Source organism: Homo sapiens, chromosome 1 (genome assembly GCF_000001405.40).
Source record: "Homo sapiens chromosome 1, GRCh38.p14 Primary Assembly".
Lineage (NCBI taxonomy): Eukaryota > Metazoa > Chordata > Mammalia > Primates > Hominidae > Homo > Homo sapiens.
In genome coordinates, this window is record NC_000001.11 from 216,725,989 (window position 1) to 216,743,205 (window position 17,217).

Below are 17,217 nucleotides of genomic sequence, written 5' to 3' on the forward strand. Positions count from 1 at the left end.
CTTATTTCCCTTTGGGTACTTATTTGCCCTCATTATGATCCATTTGACTTCACTGGTGTATATTTTTAAAGATATTTAGACTCATGCGTAAGTCATTGTTCTGTGCTCACAGAGATACATGTACAAACATACATAGTGTCATCCCCACTGATTTTTCACTAACCATATTTCATCTACGCAAGGTGCAGTGTTCACTGAACTCGCTGCTTTCTGAGTGACCAGATGTGTACTAGGTTTGTAGACTTGGATATTTTCCCCTTGGGATCAAAGTATCACCTGTACAAGTCAAGGACCTAAAGACTGTACTTACTGTCTTGAATCCAGTTTAACCAATTTAAAATTTTTAAAAATCCTCTTCACTAAACTTGTGAGACAGCTTCCAGAATATTTTACAAATACACAGCTCAGTCATCTCAAGAAACTTCCCTGGTCCCAGATTTTTCTCACCTTGCAGGAGAAAACAATGGATAATCATGGGAAATAAATGTGCCATGAGTAATACTGAGCTTAAACCTTCAAGAATCTCAATTACAAAAAAAATCTGGAAAAACAAATAAACAAACAAACAGATAAACAGCCTAGGATACACATATATTCCCAGTCTATACACTTCACAATCTTACCACAAGGAGTCTACCCAAATCAAGAAAAACTGAACCAAACAAAAGGATCTCTCATGATTGCTTCACAAAGAATATTAATAAATTAGTTAATATCAGTCTATTATGCATCAGGCTCTTGGTGTATGCATAGTTTCAATCTCTTCTTCCTTAAACAATGCAGTCATAAATATCCAAACAAATTCATTCTCAGTCCCCAACTAATGCACAGTCACCAAGCAGAGAATATACTTCATTTCTATTTCAAAGAACAGAATGAAAACAAGCAAAGCTCAAGTGGAAACAACAGGAAGATTCCTCTAGTCATATACACCAGACATTTTATTACATTTAAGTCAGAATCATTTCTTGCAACATTCTAACTAGGAATTCTTATGTTGCTAGAAGGTGATGAGAAATGCTTAGTCTTGCTGTTATTGCATATTAATAGCTATTTTTAGCTCCTATCTTTCTTTTCTGAAAATTAACAGGACTAACCTTCATTAAAATGTTCAAGTTTATCACTGTCATTTTTGAAGCAGGTTTTTATTTTATATTACACATTCATCATTTACTAAATATGTAAAACTAAACAAGGCATAACAAATTTAGATTTTCAAATTGCCTAGTAATCTTTCCTCAGGATTATAAAATCTTTGAAAAGCTGTTTAACTTTTTGAACTATTTTCCCTGCTGTTTTAAATGTATCATATATAGTATAATATACCATCCTGCAAAAAGCAAACCAAGACAATTACAAACTACTATCTTTAACTCCAAAAGACAACCTTGGGAAAAGAACCTAAAATGAGAAGCAAGGCACCAGGCTCCCTTCTACTCCTCATGAGCTGTGTGGCCATGGGTAGGTTGCCTCACTTATCTGTCCCTCATTTCCTCATCTGAAAATTGGGGTTTCTTTTGTGCTATAAACCTGCTTAAGAACACACCTTTCCCACTGAGAACACGCAGACTTCTTTCGAAGTCAGGATGACTACTTTACACTATATTACCACCAGCCCTCTATCAATTCATCATTCCTCATTTTCTGTTGCCTTTCATTTCTAGGGCACAGGCTTTGATATTTAAATTATTGTCTCGATTGGCAAGAAGCAATCATTTCTGCTGAAAGTGATCGCTTCCACAGAAGCACTAATAAAAACCCTTCCTTTTGACAAACCTCTTGTCCTATAAATCCATCCCATTCCCAAATTATGGAGCCTATATATAAAAAAAAGCCCATTCTCTGGGGAGCAACTGTCTCACCGACATAACACACTAAACTCTTTTCCCACTGTTTGTGAAAGTTGGAGGGGGAAAAAAAAAGAATCAGAGAAAGACAGAAACTAATAGAGGCAATTCAGTTTCTGTTTAATTAATTCAGGATTATTTCACCTTCGTTTTGTCAAACTAATAATACACATGGTGAAATGTCAGTAAAAATTAAATTATAAACTACAGTAGCTCCAATGGGAAAACTGACCTTAGTTAGGTTGTATTTCCATCATACTTACCCTGGTAAGATACCAAATGCATTTTACAGTATCCTACAAGCTTTCTATAATCTGCATGGCATGTATTTACAGAGCAATAGTTAACGTTTTGAGATTATACATTAATAAATAAGTTGCAGTTATATTCTTTCCTGAATGTTAAGCACCATGAGCTAAATGCAGAAAACATTCAAGGTCAATGTCCCATTTTAGACCTTTTGAGGCAGCTGTAATATTATGATAATCAAGCTTAAAATATTCCTATAGAAAGAGTAAATTAGCCTTTTCACTTGAAAGATGATTATGATAAACAGTAAACCTAAGAGAGGACAAAATCCCTGTTTTTAAAAGCCATAAATTGTTGACTCAATCATGTGTGTGATAGTGTTGTCCAAAATAAAGGGTAGCTTAACTCTGAGAGGAAGGTGGCGGGGGCGGGTAGTGGAGATAGAGAAGCAGGGGGAAGTGGAACAAACATGACAGATTCCAGAATAAGCAATCCATGCTTTGATACCAGTAAAATGATCAAATTACCTATCCTAACCACCCCATTCAACATATAATATATTTGAGTCTAAAAATATATATATCATAAAACATCAAAAAAAAGCACAATGTATTTTTTTCCTGACGTATATGGATGTTCAATACAAATTTAAAAGCTCCCTTTTCCTGTGGCTTGTGTTAATCCTTTTGTCCGAATTTTCAAAGGACTAGTAAAAAAAAAAAAAGTAAGATATTAACATCTGGTATCCATATAAACAGGTTTAAAGAGTTATACTTTTTCTGATGTTTGAACTCTCTGACACACTTCTAAGATTTCTTTTTATAAATGACTATGTTTGATAAGAGTCTCCTTCCCCCAACCAAGGCAAATTAATTAGAGGTGTGTGTTTGTCAGACCTGGAAGAAGGTTTTAGAGCAAGGGATTACAGGTCATTCTGGAACATGCCTTGGGTTCAGATTCCAATTATGAGGGATGAGGCTTTGTACTGGAGTCAGCTTCACCCATCTTAATCTCAGTTTCCTCAGCTACCAAATGGGAATAACAATAACAATCTTATAGAATTCGTATGGGGATTAAGCAGGTTAAACCAATTTAGCACAATATCTGGCCCCAGTTTGGGGACCATATGATCCCGTGCGCTGAGGAAATTTTGGCTTGTGCCAGTTGTCCTAGCATAACAATTTACAGAAGCACCTTCTTACACCCTCAATAGTGCCCCCGTTTGGAGAATACATTTTATTGTCATCCTACAATTAGTGAGCCTTCCATAAATGTTAGCTATATTATTTTTAAATCTTTAAAAATTATTTTACAAAATTTTAAAACTGAACAGAGAGATGCAAGAGAAAGGCATTGTAATTCATTTGGCCTCCATCTCTGACTAGGAGTGGGAGATACTGGATACAGAAAAGAAAGTGAAGTGCAAGTATGTTACATTATGAATTGCTTGCCATACTGCCACATATACATTGGCTGCATGTAATGAAAGGGAAAACTAAAAGATGTTCCCCTTAAAGTTACCATGATGTTTTCTGCGTGGGGATGAGGAAAACAGACTTGGGAAAGTTAACTGATTCTGCTGACTCTCCAGAGAATTCAATTGTACATTGTTTACCAGAAAGAAGGGGAGAGAGAAATTGCTTGTACTCCATTTCTCTTCCTTTAAGACACTTCTTCCACATCCCTCTACTCTAGCAGTTCAGTCAATAATGCTGTTGATTTTATTACTATCCCAAGCACAAGCTCATTCACCTAGGAGCTCTTTTGATCAGATATCCCAAAAACTCAATTTCTTCACAAGGCTTTGCTCTTGTTACATTGAATGGCCACTAATCTATGGCAGCACATAAAGTCTGGGCAATGGGGAATTACAGGCTGGGAAAGACCATAGGGATTATGAGTCCAGCTTGGTTACTTTACAGGTAAAGGAAATCAGGCTCAGAATGGTTAAGAGCCTTAACCCAGGTTACATACCTAGGTAGTAGGAAAGCTCCTATTAGAAAAGATTACATTTCTCCCCTTTCCAGTGCTTCGTTAGCAACAAGCCACCAATGTTAGTGTCACAATTGTTGACACTATACTAGCGCATAGAACTCCGACAGAGATCTGACCTCTCTGAGGACACGTGTCCAGTAAAAGCCAAGGGAGTTCTGAACCTAAGAGATAAATATCCAAGTGTAAACCAAATGGTCCTCTACTTTCTCCAAAAGCTTAGAAAGGTAAAAAAAAAAAAAAAAAGAAAGAAAAAGAAAGAAAGAAAGAAAAAAAGGTACATAGTTAAAAAGAATTGGGAATGTACTGGTAGAAATAAATTCTGTCTTCTCCCCAGCTAATTATTGTCCTTTTATAAGCACATTTTAACTATCATTTCCTTCAGGGATTCAGTTTTGTTAAATGGCCACACCTTTCCCTACTCTAAACTCTATCTGACTGTAATCTGTGAGCTGGGCTGGGCCTGACAGTATGCCCATGGCCAGTAATGGAACTCAAGACATATTCCTGTCAATGTTATAGGAACACAATGAATATGTCTTGGATGAGTGAATGAATGAATGAACTAATGACCAATGCTATTACTCAGTTAATTATTCATTTTAAGGGAGGCTGCCAAATTTAATGAGATAATTCAAGCCAGGTAACTAGAGTAATATGGGAAAAATTTAAGAGATAAGATGATTGGAAAAAATAGGTAAATGGTGAGGCGGAAAGTTGGTAGAAAAAGATAAAAAGAGGAAAAAAGGATTGAAGACAAGGCCTGCTCCATGCTATACTAAGGGGCACCAGCACTCCATCATCATTTATTCTTCTGATAGCTAAGAAGGAGCAATGTACAATGATTGCTTCCTTCCTCTACTTTCTAATTTTCCATGTTTTGTAAATATTCATATTGACTAAGTATTGGATAATGAAAACAATTATTATTAAAACAAAAGCAAACAAAGCTGCCATATCAGTACCTAAAACTGTGACCCTTCCCAGGGTAACATGGAAACATATTCTCATTTAATCTGACAGCAAGTGCTTTTAAAAATCATGATCCCAGATATGTCCTGAACCCAAATATTTTTAAGTGTTCAAAAACGGTTCTTGTATGCAACATAAAAATTTCTGTATTAAGGATTTTAAGTACTTTTCATTATCTAAAGATTTATTTGGTTAAATGTTGACAAGGATCCCATGAAGAATGGTCACAGAGTTCCTATTTCTATGAGATGTATGACTGGAGCAGCAGTGAACACTGAATACTTTCAGTGGGAAGGTGGATTTTTCCTCTTATGGGGAGAGGAAGAAGGGAATTAATCAGCAGAAAAAGACAAAGGTCTTACTTTTAGGCCGCTGTTTACCTCTCTTTACTCCTTGCAATTTTTAAAACAAGACCTGTGTGTTTTGCTTGATGATTTCATTGCAAGAGCAAGGCCCTGATGAGAACATATCACATTCTAGAGAGCCAACTGTTATCTCTAGAAAACCACATTTTGGATGCAAAAGAGAGTAAGATTCCCTGGTTCAATTATTACACATTCATATGTATGTATCAAAACTCAATACGTACCCCCAAAATATGTACAACTATTATGTATCAATTTTAAAAAGAGTGAGACAAAGAATTCCTTTCCCATTTCCGTGGTAGATTAAATTACCAGGAATGGTGATGGGGGAGGGGCATGAGGCCTGTACTCAGGACATTGAAATCCTGGGGCTGTTATCTCACCTACAGTTTGTAACTAAGTGCACAGCTATTTGGATAACGAAAGTTTATCCAATCAAACTGTGTTACCGAAAAGCAAGAGTTCAGTTACCAGTTGAATTCGGAAACTAAATAAATCAAAGACCATTTTCATTAGTGAGAATAGACATGGATTAATTCATCCTTCGATAAATCAGAACGTTAAACAAAGAATTGAAATTTAACAAAGAAATTTTTTTTTAATTTTTATATGTTTAAAATATGGACAGAAAAGTTAGCTGTTTAGAACATTTAAAAATTCTAATTAAGAAGTGGAATAAAAAAAGAAAATAAAAAATAAAAAAAGAAAATAAAAAAAAGAAAGGTTTTGTCAACATAAAAAAAAAAAGAAGTGGAATACCCAATATTTTTGCTATAATTTAACATTAACAAGGCAATTTCACACGTGCTCCTTTTGTTCCTCACAACAACTTGCTGTAGCAGGTAGAAACTTCATTATTATTATATTATCATCCCCATTTTATAGATGACACTGAGATTCAAAGAGTTTGTTGATTGCCCAACAGCACTCAGTTTTCATGCTGCAAAGTTGACATCTGGATTTATTGATTTTTTTTTTTTTTTAACAGAGACTTACTGTGTCGCCCAGGCTGGTGTGCAGTGGCACAATCTCAGCTCCCTGCAAACTCCACCTCCCGGATTCAAGCTATTCTCTTGCCTCGGCCTCCAGAGTAGCTGAGACTACAGGTGCCCACCACCACACCCGGCTAATTTTTGTATTTATAGTAGAGACGGGATTTCACCATGTTGGACAGGCTGGTCTCGAATGCCTGACCTCAGCTGATCTGCCCTACTAGTGAAAATGTACAATACGAAAAGGAAACCACTGGGCATGGTGGCGTGCACATGTAGTCCCAGCTACTCCGGAGGCTAAGGGAGGAGGATTGCTGGAGTCCAGCAGTTCAAGGCATCAGTGATCAATGATCAATGATCAATGATCACACCTGTCTATGAATAGCCACTGAACTCCAGCCTGCAAACATAGTGGAACTCCATCTCTAAAATTAAAAAAAAAAAGGGGGGGGAGGAGGGGGACTCTTGTGGTCTCAATAATTTCCCTTCTCTGTCAGGAATTTTACTCTGGTTAGGCATAGCTCCAAATTGACTGCTTTCTCTTTCCCAAGTTTCCCAGCCATACAACCACAGCAAAATTCTAGGATATCTGAGCTAAGGAACCAAGAGACTTAAAGAGGAGCAAAATCATTCCTCATTAAGACAGAAGCAACAATAATCCAAAAAAAAAAAAAATTCAACTTTAAAACTACCATATTTGCTTACAGTTTTTCAAAGATTCCCTTGTTAATAAAATAGAACTATGATCAACCCATACAACATAACAGCTTTCAAACATTCGTGTTTTCTTCAGAATTATTCTGTTTCATCTCCATAATTTTGCTAGCCTGCAGTATAAGGGCATTTTTTTTTTTTTTTGTCACACTACCAGGTGCTTTGGGGCCTGGGTATGTTACTGCTAAGAAGATCTTGGGAGAAAACAGGGCCACATGTTGCTTTCCCTATTAGCAAAGATGCTTAAATAAGACAATATTAGCTTTAAAGGGCTGTTTTTGTGGTGAGAGCTTTCTAGTACTGCCCACGTTCTGCCCCAACATTGACTTCATTGCCGTCATTGAGCAGTTAAATCTATTCAATTATTCAATCCTAATCAATATTTCAAGATGTAAAGAAAGTAAATGTAAATATTTTGTTTATTTTTACCATACTTAATTCATGTGCTCTTATTGGAGGAGAAAGTTACATATTTATAAATAAACCATTGCAAAAAAAGCGGTGGGTTCCTTTTCTTGTAATACTGGCTCTCATTTAGTCAGCTACAATATTTAGCAACACAATCCACAGGGTAGATAAAACACTCTCAGTCTGGGCGCAGTGGCTCACACCTGTAATCCCAGCACTCTGGGAGCCTGAGGGGGGCGGATCACCTGAAGTCAGGAGTTCGAGACCAGCTTGACAAACATAGCAAAACCCCGTCTCTACTAAAAATACAAAATTAGCCAGGTGTGGTGGTGGGTGCCTGTAATCTTAGCTATTGGGAGGTTGAGGCAGGAGAATTGCCTGAACCAGGGAGGCAGAGGTTGGTGGAGGTCGCGCCACTGCACTCCAGCCCGGTCAACAGAGCAACAGAGCAAGACTCTGTAAAAAAAAAAAAAAAAAAAAACTCACCTTCAAGTGTTCCCTTTGGGAAGCCTTCCTGAAGGGGCACCAGGCAGAATCAATGGCCCTCTCCTCTGTGTCCTATCATGCTTTGCGCTTACTGGTCTAAATGGTTTGTGTCAAGGTAGATTGTCCTTATGTGTCTCTGCCTTCCATTGAGTAAACTTCTTGATGGCCTTTAATCCTCTGCACTGTGCCTAGCACTGATATCTAGACATTTTAGACTCTCAACAAATATCTGCCAAATAAATTCCTGATTTTGGCAAAAATGTTCACACTCATTGATATGGTTTGGCTATTTTGTCTCCTCCAAATCTCATATTGAAATATGACCTTCAGTGTTGGAGGCGGGCCTAGTGGGAGGTGTTCGGGTCATGAGGGCAGATCTGTCAGGAATGGCTTGGTGCTGTCCTCGCAGTGATGAGTGTGTTCTCACTCTGGTAGTTCACTAGAAAGCTGGATGTTTAAAATTTAAAAGTGTGTAGCACCTCTCCCCTCTCTTTTGCTCCCTATCCCACCATGTGATATGCCTCTGCCCCTTCACCTTCCGCCATGATTATAAGCTTCCTGGAGCTTCACCAGAAGCAGATGTTGGCACTTATGCTTCTTGTACAGTCTGTAGTGAACAAAATAAACCGCTTTTCTTTATAAATTACCCAGTCTCAGGTCTTTCTTTATAGCAATGCAGCAATAGACTAACGTACTCATACAACTTGAGTTTTTTAAAAATGAGTTTCAATGTTTCTTTGAAGAAATTTTGTCAGTATTTTAATGGGGCTAATATATTTACCCTTTCAAAATTAGCTACTCATTAAATGAAACATTTTGACTTATGAATTTCCCCCCTCTACCCTGTAAATAAATTTTTAAAAAAGTTGGCTACTACATAGTTCCATATTCTTTTTTTTTTTTTTTTTTTTTTGAGACGGAGTCTTCCTCTGTTGCCCAGGCTGGAGTGCAGTGGTGCGATCTTGGCTTACTACAACCTCCGCCTCCTGGGTTCAAGTGATTCTCCTGCCTCAGCCTCCCAAGTAGCTGGGATTACAGGTGCCTGCCACCACATCTGGCTAATTTTGGTATTTTTAGTAGAAATGGGTTTTCACCATCTTGGCCAGGCTGGTTTCCAACTCCTCACCTCAGGTGATCTGCCTTCCTCGCCTCCCAAAGTGCTGGGATTACAGGCATGAGCCACCATGCCCAGCCTCATTGTTTTTTTGTTTTTGAGACAGGGTCTGGCTCTGTCACCCAGGCTGGAGTGCAGTGATGAGATCATAGCTCACTGCACCCTCAAACTCCTGTGCTCAAGTGATCCTTCTGCCTCAGCCTCCTGAGTAACTGGGTGTGTGCCACCATACCCAGCTAATTAAAAAAAAAAAAATTGTTTGTAGAGATAGGGTCTTGTTTTGTTGCCCAGGCTGGTTTCAAGCTTCTGGCCTCAAGGGATCCTCCAGCCTCAGCCTCCCAAATTGCTGGGATTACAGGCGTGAGCCACCACACCTGGCCCATCTTTTTCTTAAGACAAGGTTGTGCAGCAATGGCAAATCCCTGCCCTGCCTCCACCTCTGTCACCCATGAGAGAACCTCTAGAACAATTATTCACTAGTTTTCAATCTTTAACATTACATTTATAAATAAATCTACATACTTATGTGACCCTGACTGGTCTCAATTAATTAACTTACTTAAAAATTTCAGGCTGGGAGTGGTGGTTCATGCCTGTAATCCCAGCACTTTGGGAGACCAAGGTGGGTGGATCATGAGGTCAGGAGTTCAAGATCAGCCTGGCCAAGATGGTGAAACCCCGTCTCTACTAAAAATACAAAAATTAGCCAGGCATGGTGGTGCACCCCTGTAATCCCAACTACTCGGGAGGCTGAGGCCGAGAATTGCTTGAACCTAGGAAGCAGAGGTTGCAGGGAGCTGAGATCACACCACTGCACTCCAGCCTAGGCGACAGAGCAATACTCCCCATCTCAAAAAAAAATATATATATATATATATATACACACATACATATATTTGCTTTCCTGGGTCACTATACTCACCTTCACTTGAGAAAGATGAGAACAGGGGGGGAGTTTCCCAAATGCCCATTCCTAGGGTATTAATGAGTAACCTTTCTAGACCCTATGATCCATCCAAAATATGGTGCTTCTAAGGAGTTAAGGACTATTTTTTTTTTTTTTTTTTTTTTTTGAGACAGAGTCTCGCTCTGTCGCTCAGGCTGGAGTGCAGTGGCGCTGTCTCTACTCACTGCAAGCTCCGCCTCCCGGTTTCACGCCATTCTCCTGCCTCAGCCTCTCCGAGTAGCTGGGACTACAGCCGTCCGCCACCACGCCCGGCTAATTTTTTGTATTTTTAGTAGAGACGGGGTTTCACCGTGTTAGCCAGGATGGTCTCGATCTGCGGACCTCGTGATCCACCCGCCTCGGCCTCCCAAAGTGCTGGGATTACAGGCGTGAGCCACCATGCCTGGCCGTTAAGGACTATTTTAACTGTGATATTTATCCCCTCAAGTTGACGTCACACTGAATTTTAGGGTCAGAGTAAAAATACCATCTCTGAAGCTCCCCTCTTTCTCAGAGAAGCAAGAGTTGGTAGAAAGAACAGTTGAGGAAGAATGGTTTTTGGTCATCTGTACCCTTGCGCTAGCTGCTGCATTTCGCTGGGCTTCAGTGAACAAGAGGGAACCGGTGCAGAGATTCCACACCAGCAGAATCTCCATCAAGTAGAAGCTGGTTGAAAACACAAATGATTAGGCTCCACCCCTGACCTACTGGGTCAGAAACTCTGGGGTTAGATCCCAGCAGTCTGTGTTTTAACAAGCTCTCCAGGTCATTCTGGGACATGCCAAGATGTGAGAATAGGATCTCTATAGACCTGTTTCCCTCTAAAGGTCTACAGTTTCATCATCAGGAACAGAGCTTTTATTAAAAATAAATGGCTCAGAATTCGCTTTGTTATTCATATATTCTCCACCCCCAGCCCCTACGTTTTTTAAACTTCATGTTTCAACACATTGAGTCTTAAAAATCAAATCCTGCAACAAGAAATACCAAATAAATTAATAAATAAAGTGATGCTGGCTGCTACGGCTCAGTTTACAGAGAGGAATGTGGTCCTTGGACTTTTAAAAACTCTAAATTCAGTTCTTTCTCTGGCTAGTATATGTCTCATGGTTCACTCAGCTGCATCTGCTTCAAAGTTTGAAGCAAAAGCCTTAAAATTGGTGGAGACAGATATGGTGACCAGAAGAGCTGCAGACAGTGGTTCACCCTTGTTTTGAGCCTGGCTTCTGCTATTCTTTAGCTGGTAGACAGGTGGGCTGGTGGGTTAAAGTCTTGTATGTCTCAGTTTCCTCATTTTTAACATGGTGATGACTCCAATCTCATATTGTTGCTAAGGGATTAAATGAAATGGTCTATATATAGCATTGGTTTCAACCTTTGAAAAATTCCAATCCTCAGGCCTCACCCCAGCCAATTAATTTAAAATCTTTGGCATCAGGAGTTTTGAAGGCTCCCAGGTGAATTCAATATGCTGCCAAAGTAGCAACTGAGACCCACTGCTAAATTACTTAGCCCAGGTCCTGGAATCATTATTTTACCATTATTGAACCGTGTAAAGGAAGTGTATGTAAAAGCATAAACTTTGATATCAGATGGCCTCGTCTTAATCCTGGCTGTACAGACTGTTGGCTGTGTGACCTTGGGCAAGTACCTGAATTATTGGTTTTATCATCTGTTAAGAACAACAATTAGCAAGAAGGGATTAAAAAAAAAAAACAATAAACTTATCTGCTTACTCAGTAAGATTGTTATGAAAACAAATAAGATAACATAAATCCAAGCTCACTGTGAATGATGCAAGTATAAGAAAATATTCGTCCTTACATACAGCCCACAAAAACTATCAGTGGCTTGTGTTAGATGCCAATCACTAAATGCAAGTGACTTCCAGACCTTCACTAGTTCTGCAGATGAGACATCACTTTTTTTTTTTTTTTTTTTTTGGTCATGCTAATACCCCAAAGCTCAACAGTGATCATAGGATGAGATAATCTGGTTCCACTTTGGAATCACCTGGAGACTTTTTAAAAGTACAGCTGCCTGGGTCTCACCCAGTGAAAATCTCTGAGGGTGGGGTCCATACAGTGGTATTTTTGGGATAAGATCTACTGGGGTTTCAAACTGCAGCCAACATTAAAAAGAAGGAAAAAGGTGAAGTTAACTGCTGAGGAAGGGGCTTAGGGTAAAGTGAAGACCATCTGTGGACTCCAGCTTTTGTAGTGACACAATGCTGAGAAACCAAATTTCCAGGGATCCATCAGTTTATGAAACTTTACTAAAATAAGTCCTATACTGCCAAGCAACTAAGGAGAAAAAAGTGAACCATAAAATGCTTATCAATGAAGAGCTGAGTATAATGTAAAAATCTATTCTAAATACTATGCTTCAGAGTAAAAACAGATGTGAAATGGTTAAACAAAATCTGTGGTATCATAAGGCAATAAAATTTAGTTGCTTTTCATTTTCTTCCTTATATTCTTATGTATTGTTTAGATAATTTTACAATGAATGCAGATTATTTATTTAACAGAAAATAACAGTCAAACAGAATGTAGTAAGGGGAAAAAGTGGATTAAGTAGGGGAAAAGTATGAAATGGTGAGACAGTAAAATAAATGCCAGAGCTGAGAAAGATGAAGCAGCGTGCACTTATAAACAAAAAAAATTCTAGGACTCTCAAAACACTGGCAGATTCCTGAATACATGCTAATGTTTCACTTCTCTCTGCCTAGCAAAATCTTACTTATCCTTTTTAAAAATTTTATTTGTTATTTATTTACTTATGAGACAGGGTCTCACTCTGTCACCCAGGCCTGTCACCCAAACTGGAGTGCAGTGGTGCAATCATAGCTTTCTGCAGCTTCAAACTTCTGGCCTGAAGTGATCTACCACCTTAGCCTCTCAAAGCACTGGGATTACAGGTATGTCCCACTGCAACCAGCCCCTACTTATCCTTAATACTTAGTTTACCTTGGAGCGGAGGTCAGGGGAGGCTCCCAGTAGAATAGAGACCTCAGCATCCCTCTATCATCTCAACTAACCAAATGCTATTAATGTTTTCTTCGTATTTATCTGATTCTCCCATGACTGTAAGCCTCTTGAGAGTAAAACTGCATCCTGTTTATCTTTATAAATAATCCCGACACTGAGAGACAAGTGCATAAAAGGTATCTCCAAAGATTCATTAAAGTGAAAAAAAAAAAAAAGTTCCCCAGCTGTGGGAAACAGGCAGAATAAGATGTGATATAAACATAGTTCTACATAAGCTATTTTTTAAATAAAAACAAAACAAAGACAACTCCTACACATAAACTATCTTCTGTGATCTTTTGGACTTTCTATTTGAGGTTAACAGTGAAGAGCTGCCAATGCTCATTGCTCAGTGGGTTTAACTGATAGGTGCTCTAAAAATGCAAATCATTTGATCGTCTGATGACTGGTATGTAGAGTTTATACCAGTAGTTCTCAAAGGAAAATATCAGTATTATCCAGGAACTGTTAGTGTAAATTCTCGGCCCTGCCACCCCAGAGAAACCCTGGGGATAGGATTCAGCAATCTGTGCTTTATCAAGTCCTCCAGGTGATTCTGATGCATGTTCGAGTTTGAGACCCACTGGTCTAAGCTAAAAGATTTAGAAGAAATGAAAACCCAGCTCACTGCTAACTCCTTCTCAAAATCTATTTTGCTAATATGGCTCTCCTATATGTGCCATGGAACCCAAACTCTGATGCGCAAATGTTTCAAAACAGACCAAGACACCTCTCAACTGTTAAAATTCCCACCTCCGACCCCTCAGGAGAATGAAATTTGAGATGCAAAGACGTCTCTTTCCTACAGTTTATCCTGCCAGACTCCTTCATTCCTCACTCTGTTCCCTGCAGATTGTCTTGTAAATGTGGCCAGAGACACATCTTCAGTCCTGAGTCTGACTGCTGACCTCGGCTATGTTAGCCCCTTTGCTGCTGAAGAACAGCCCCTTGGATCACTGACTTGCTATTATTCTATGCTTAATAGCCCCGACCTGTGCAATATTTTTTATCTGGCTACAGTCCTATCTCTAAATTCTCTATTTTGAATGAATACCAATTTTGTGACATGAAGTCTTCTATATAATGAAATGCAAACAATGAAAAGGCTAAATCAGTTTACAAAAAATCTATTTGTCAAACAGTGTGGAGATGTTCCCAATTTAGTCTGGGCAGTTCATGCAGCTCTTGATAAGGGAGTTAAAAACCTAGCTGTTCACAGAATGAAAATAAAGGCATCTGCACCACAGACACATTTTCCTTTCAAAAGTCTTTGTTGTAACTTGTAGCTAATTAAATGCCCTTACACAAGAGGTGCACACACACACAGCAAAATCAGAGAATAATTTTACAAGAGAGCCCCAGAGAAGAGGAGAGCACAACACAAGCTTCCCACTACCATCTCTTATATTGCATTTACATTTCTATACAGCTTCATCAGCCTGACAAAAAAAGCACAAGGGGAGGCCTTTTTTGTTCAATTTTGGACGAGAGAGATTTCTAAGCCCTGCAAAGGAACGTGCTTAACATTAAAAAAAAAAAGAAGAAAGAAAGAAAAAAAGAAAGAAATTGTAACCCTGCCTTAGATGCTTGTGGAGAAATAATGCTTTCTACACACCTTTCTATATCACCGACAGAGGAACTAAAAAATTATCAAGAACTTAAAGTGTTCCATTTTTTTATTTGTAGTGTTTTCCTCACTCCTAGAGATTATTTGCAGGCAGAGGTGCCCCTGTATTAAGCTTGACATTTATTGGAGTGGCTTTGAATTTACCATGTCACATTTATCAAAATGGGATTATATATACATATTGACATTCTTTCATTTTTCCACCTTCTGAATTTAACTATTTCATTGGGCAGAATTTAAAGTGTTAATTCTCAGATAAATTTTTTAAAGTCATATACGAAATTGGTTCTCAAATATAACTGGCATTGAGTTATCACAGTCCCCCCTCTCTCTTCTTTCACGCCCCCGTCCCCATATGGGAAGACTGTCCAACATAATGGGATAGCATTGGATATAAAAACAGAACATTGTCTAAACAGAGGATTGAAAGCTCTTTGGGGTCAGGGTAATTTATATTATATTTATATTTATAATTTATATAATTTATATTATATAATTTATATTTATAATTTATATTATATAATTTATATTTATAATTTATATTATATAATTTATATTTGTAATTTATATTATATAGTTTATGTTTATAATTTATATTATAATTATTTCTTTATACCTGTTCACAATCCTGTGTCACTACATGTGTGGACCCCTCAGGCTAAAACACCAACCTCACAACCCCTTTCTAACACTCCCCCCCGCCCCTGCACACACCCCAAAATACCCCCCTACACATACACACACACACATATACCTCTTTTCCAGATGGAAACTCAGAAAGATCACCTCCTCTCGGGAGGCATCTCTTATCCTGCCATCCTTTAGCATTTTCATATCTGTATGTGATTTTACTTCTCTTATTAAACTGTAAGCTACTTGAAGGCAGAGACCCTGTCTCATCTCAGAATGCTTAGAACACAGCTTAGGGCCTGACAGACTGGATGTTATTGAACAGGCTGTTTAATGAATAAATGAATGAATGCAAGCCTAGCTGGGCAATTGCTGTCTAAGCTTTGAATTCTTACTATTATGAAACAGATGAATTCATGCAACCCTCTTGATGTCAAAAAATACCACACTTTCGTACATGGGTGCTTGGAATACACTTGTCAACTTCTAAGTCCTATTGGTTCTCACTCTAAATCATCTCTACATTCTCAAAGTTAAATTCCAACTGCCTGAATTTCCTCACTGGTGGTTTCATTGGTCTCTCTCCCTCTGTTTTTCTGCTTCTTTCTAATTCATTCTATATGCCATTCTCAAGTACTTTTACCCCACATTTTCCACTGTTACAGAACAAAATCAAGATTCTTTTAACCTGAAAATTCAAGTCTATTCATAACCTGACCCAAACCCTCTTTCCTGGCAAGTTTCCCACAAGTCTGCTTCACAGAGCCTGGGTATCACAGCCTTCACGTAACCTGAACACACCAAATGCATTCTTATTTCCAGGATTTTTGCCTCAGCTATTCCCACCATCTTATATTTAAAGGACATCCATTTGTAATGCTCTGTATACATGTGATATGTCTTTATAAAGTAGGTTAGAGCCTTGAAAAAGGGCATGGCCAATTTGACTTGAGAGAGGAGCAAAAGATGCAGATTTTCTGAGCTATGTCTCTAAAGACTGTTGGGGGAAGAAAAATTTGTGGTAAGTGAGCAACCTTTAAGATAAAAGAGAATAATGGAATCATGTTTCTCCAATAGAATGTAAGTTCCTTGAAGACAAGAACTACCTGGTTCATCTTTATATTCCCACTAGTACCCAGTAGAGTGCTTTGTATGCAACAACTGACTAGTAAATATTTCTTTAATGATTCTTTATCCATTTCTGTCCTAACTCCATCCGACCCTTTCATACAGTACCTTGCATATACTAGATACTCAATAAATGACAGCTAAATGAATGACTGATTTCTTAATCTTTCCATTCCTTGTTAAAATGCAAAAGTGGGAGAGGAACAGAGTAAGTAAAATTGCAGTTACTGAAAAAACAACTTCAGAAAATGAATCGTTATGAACACCAAATATGCTTATTTTGTTTACACACCAAAAGTAAACTGTACAAGAAAACAAGTAAAAATGTTGAATTCACATCGCCCTCTGGTGTTGGACTCTCCCAGACAATTAAAAAAACCCTCAAACTTAAGAGTTTAGGGAGATTTTACTTCAAAATAGGAGCATTCAACCTTCCCTGATCAAGGCAAAATGAGTGTAGCATTGAATGAGAGGTGCAGCATCTTTCAAATTTGCTTCAGTTGTTAAAGATGAAATTATTAACTCCAACAAAGTATGGAGCCTCTAGTATATTTGCTTAATGGAGTGAATTCCTCCTTCTGTCAAAGTCACTGTGTCTCACCATGATAGTCATTATTAGAGACCAATGGAATGAGGCTGCTAGCTGTACTACAGGTCCTCTGTATAAAAGGTGTGCTTTAAAATCTAAGACAATATGACTTTTCAACAATAGCATACA

At 38.3% G+C, this 17,217-nt stretch overlaps 1 protein-coding gene across 43 annotated transcripts in view, besides 1 other annotated feature; it reads right to left on the reverse strand.

Annotated features, from left to right (window-relative positions):
* The window catches only part of ESRRG (estrogen related receptor gamma), a 634,457-nt gene that overhangs the window by 222,743 nt on the left and 394,497 nt on the right, over positions 1 to 17,217 (reverse strand). The window lies entirely within an intron of this gene.
* Positions 14,238 to 14,805: an enhancer, noted in NCBI's record as "OCT4-NANOG hESC enhancer chr1:216913568-216914135 (GRCh37/hg19 assembly coordinates)". NCBI's record gives its function as "activates a minimal SCP1, AML or CMV promoter by ChIP-STARR-seq in naive H9 embryonic stem cells {active_cell/tissue: H9 hESC(naive)}" and the evidence as "EXISTENCE:reporter gene assay evidence [ECO:0000049][PMID:30033119]".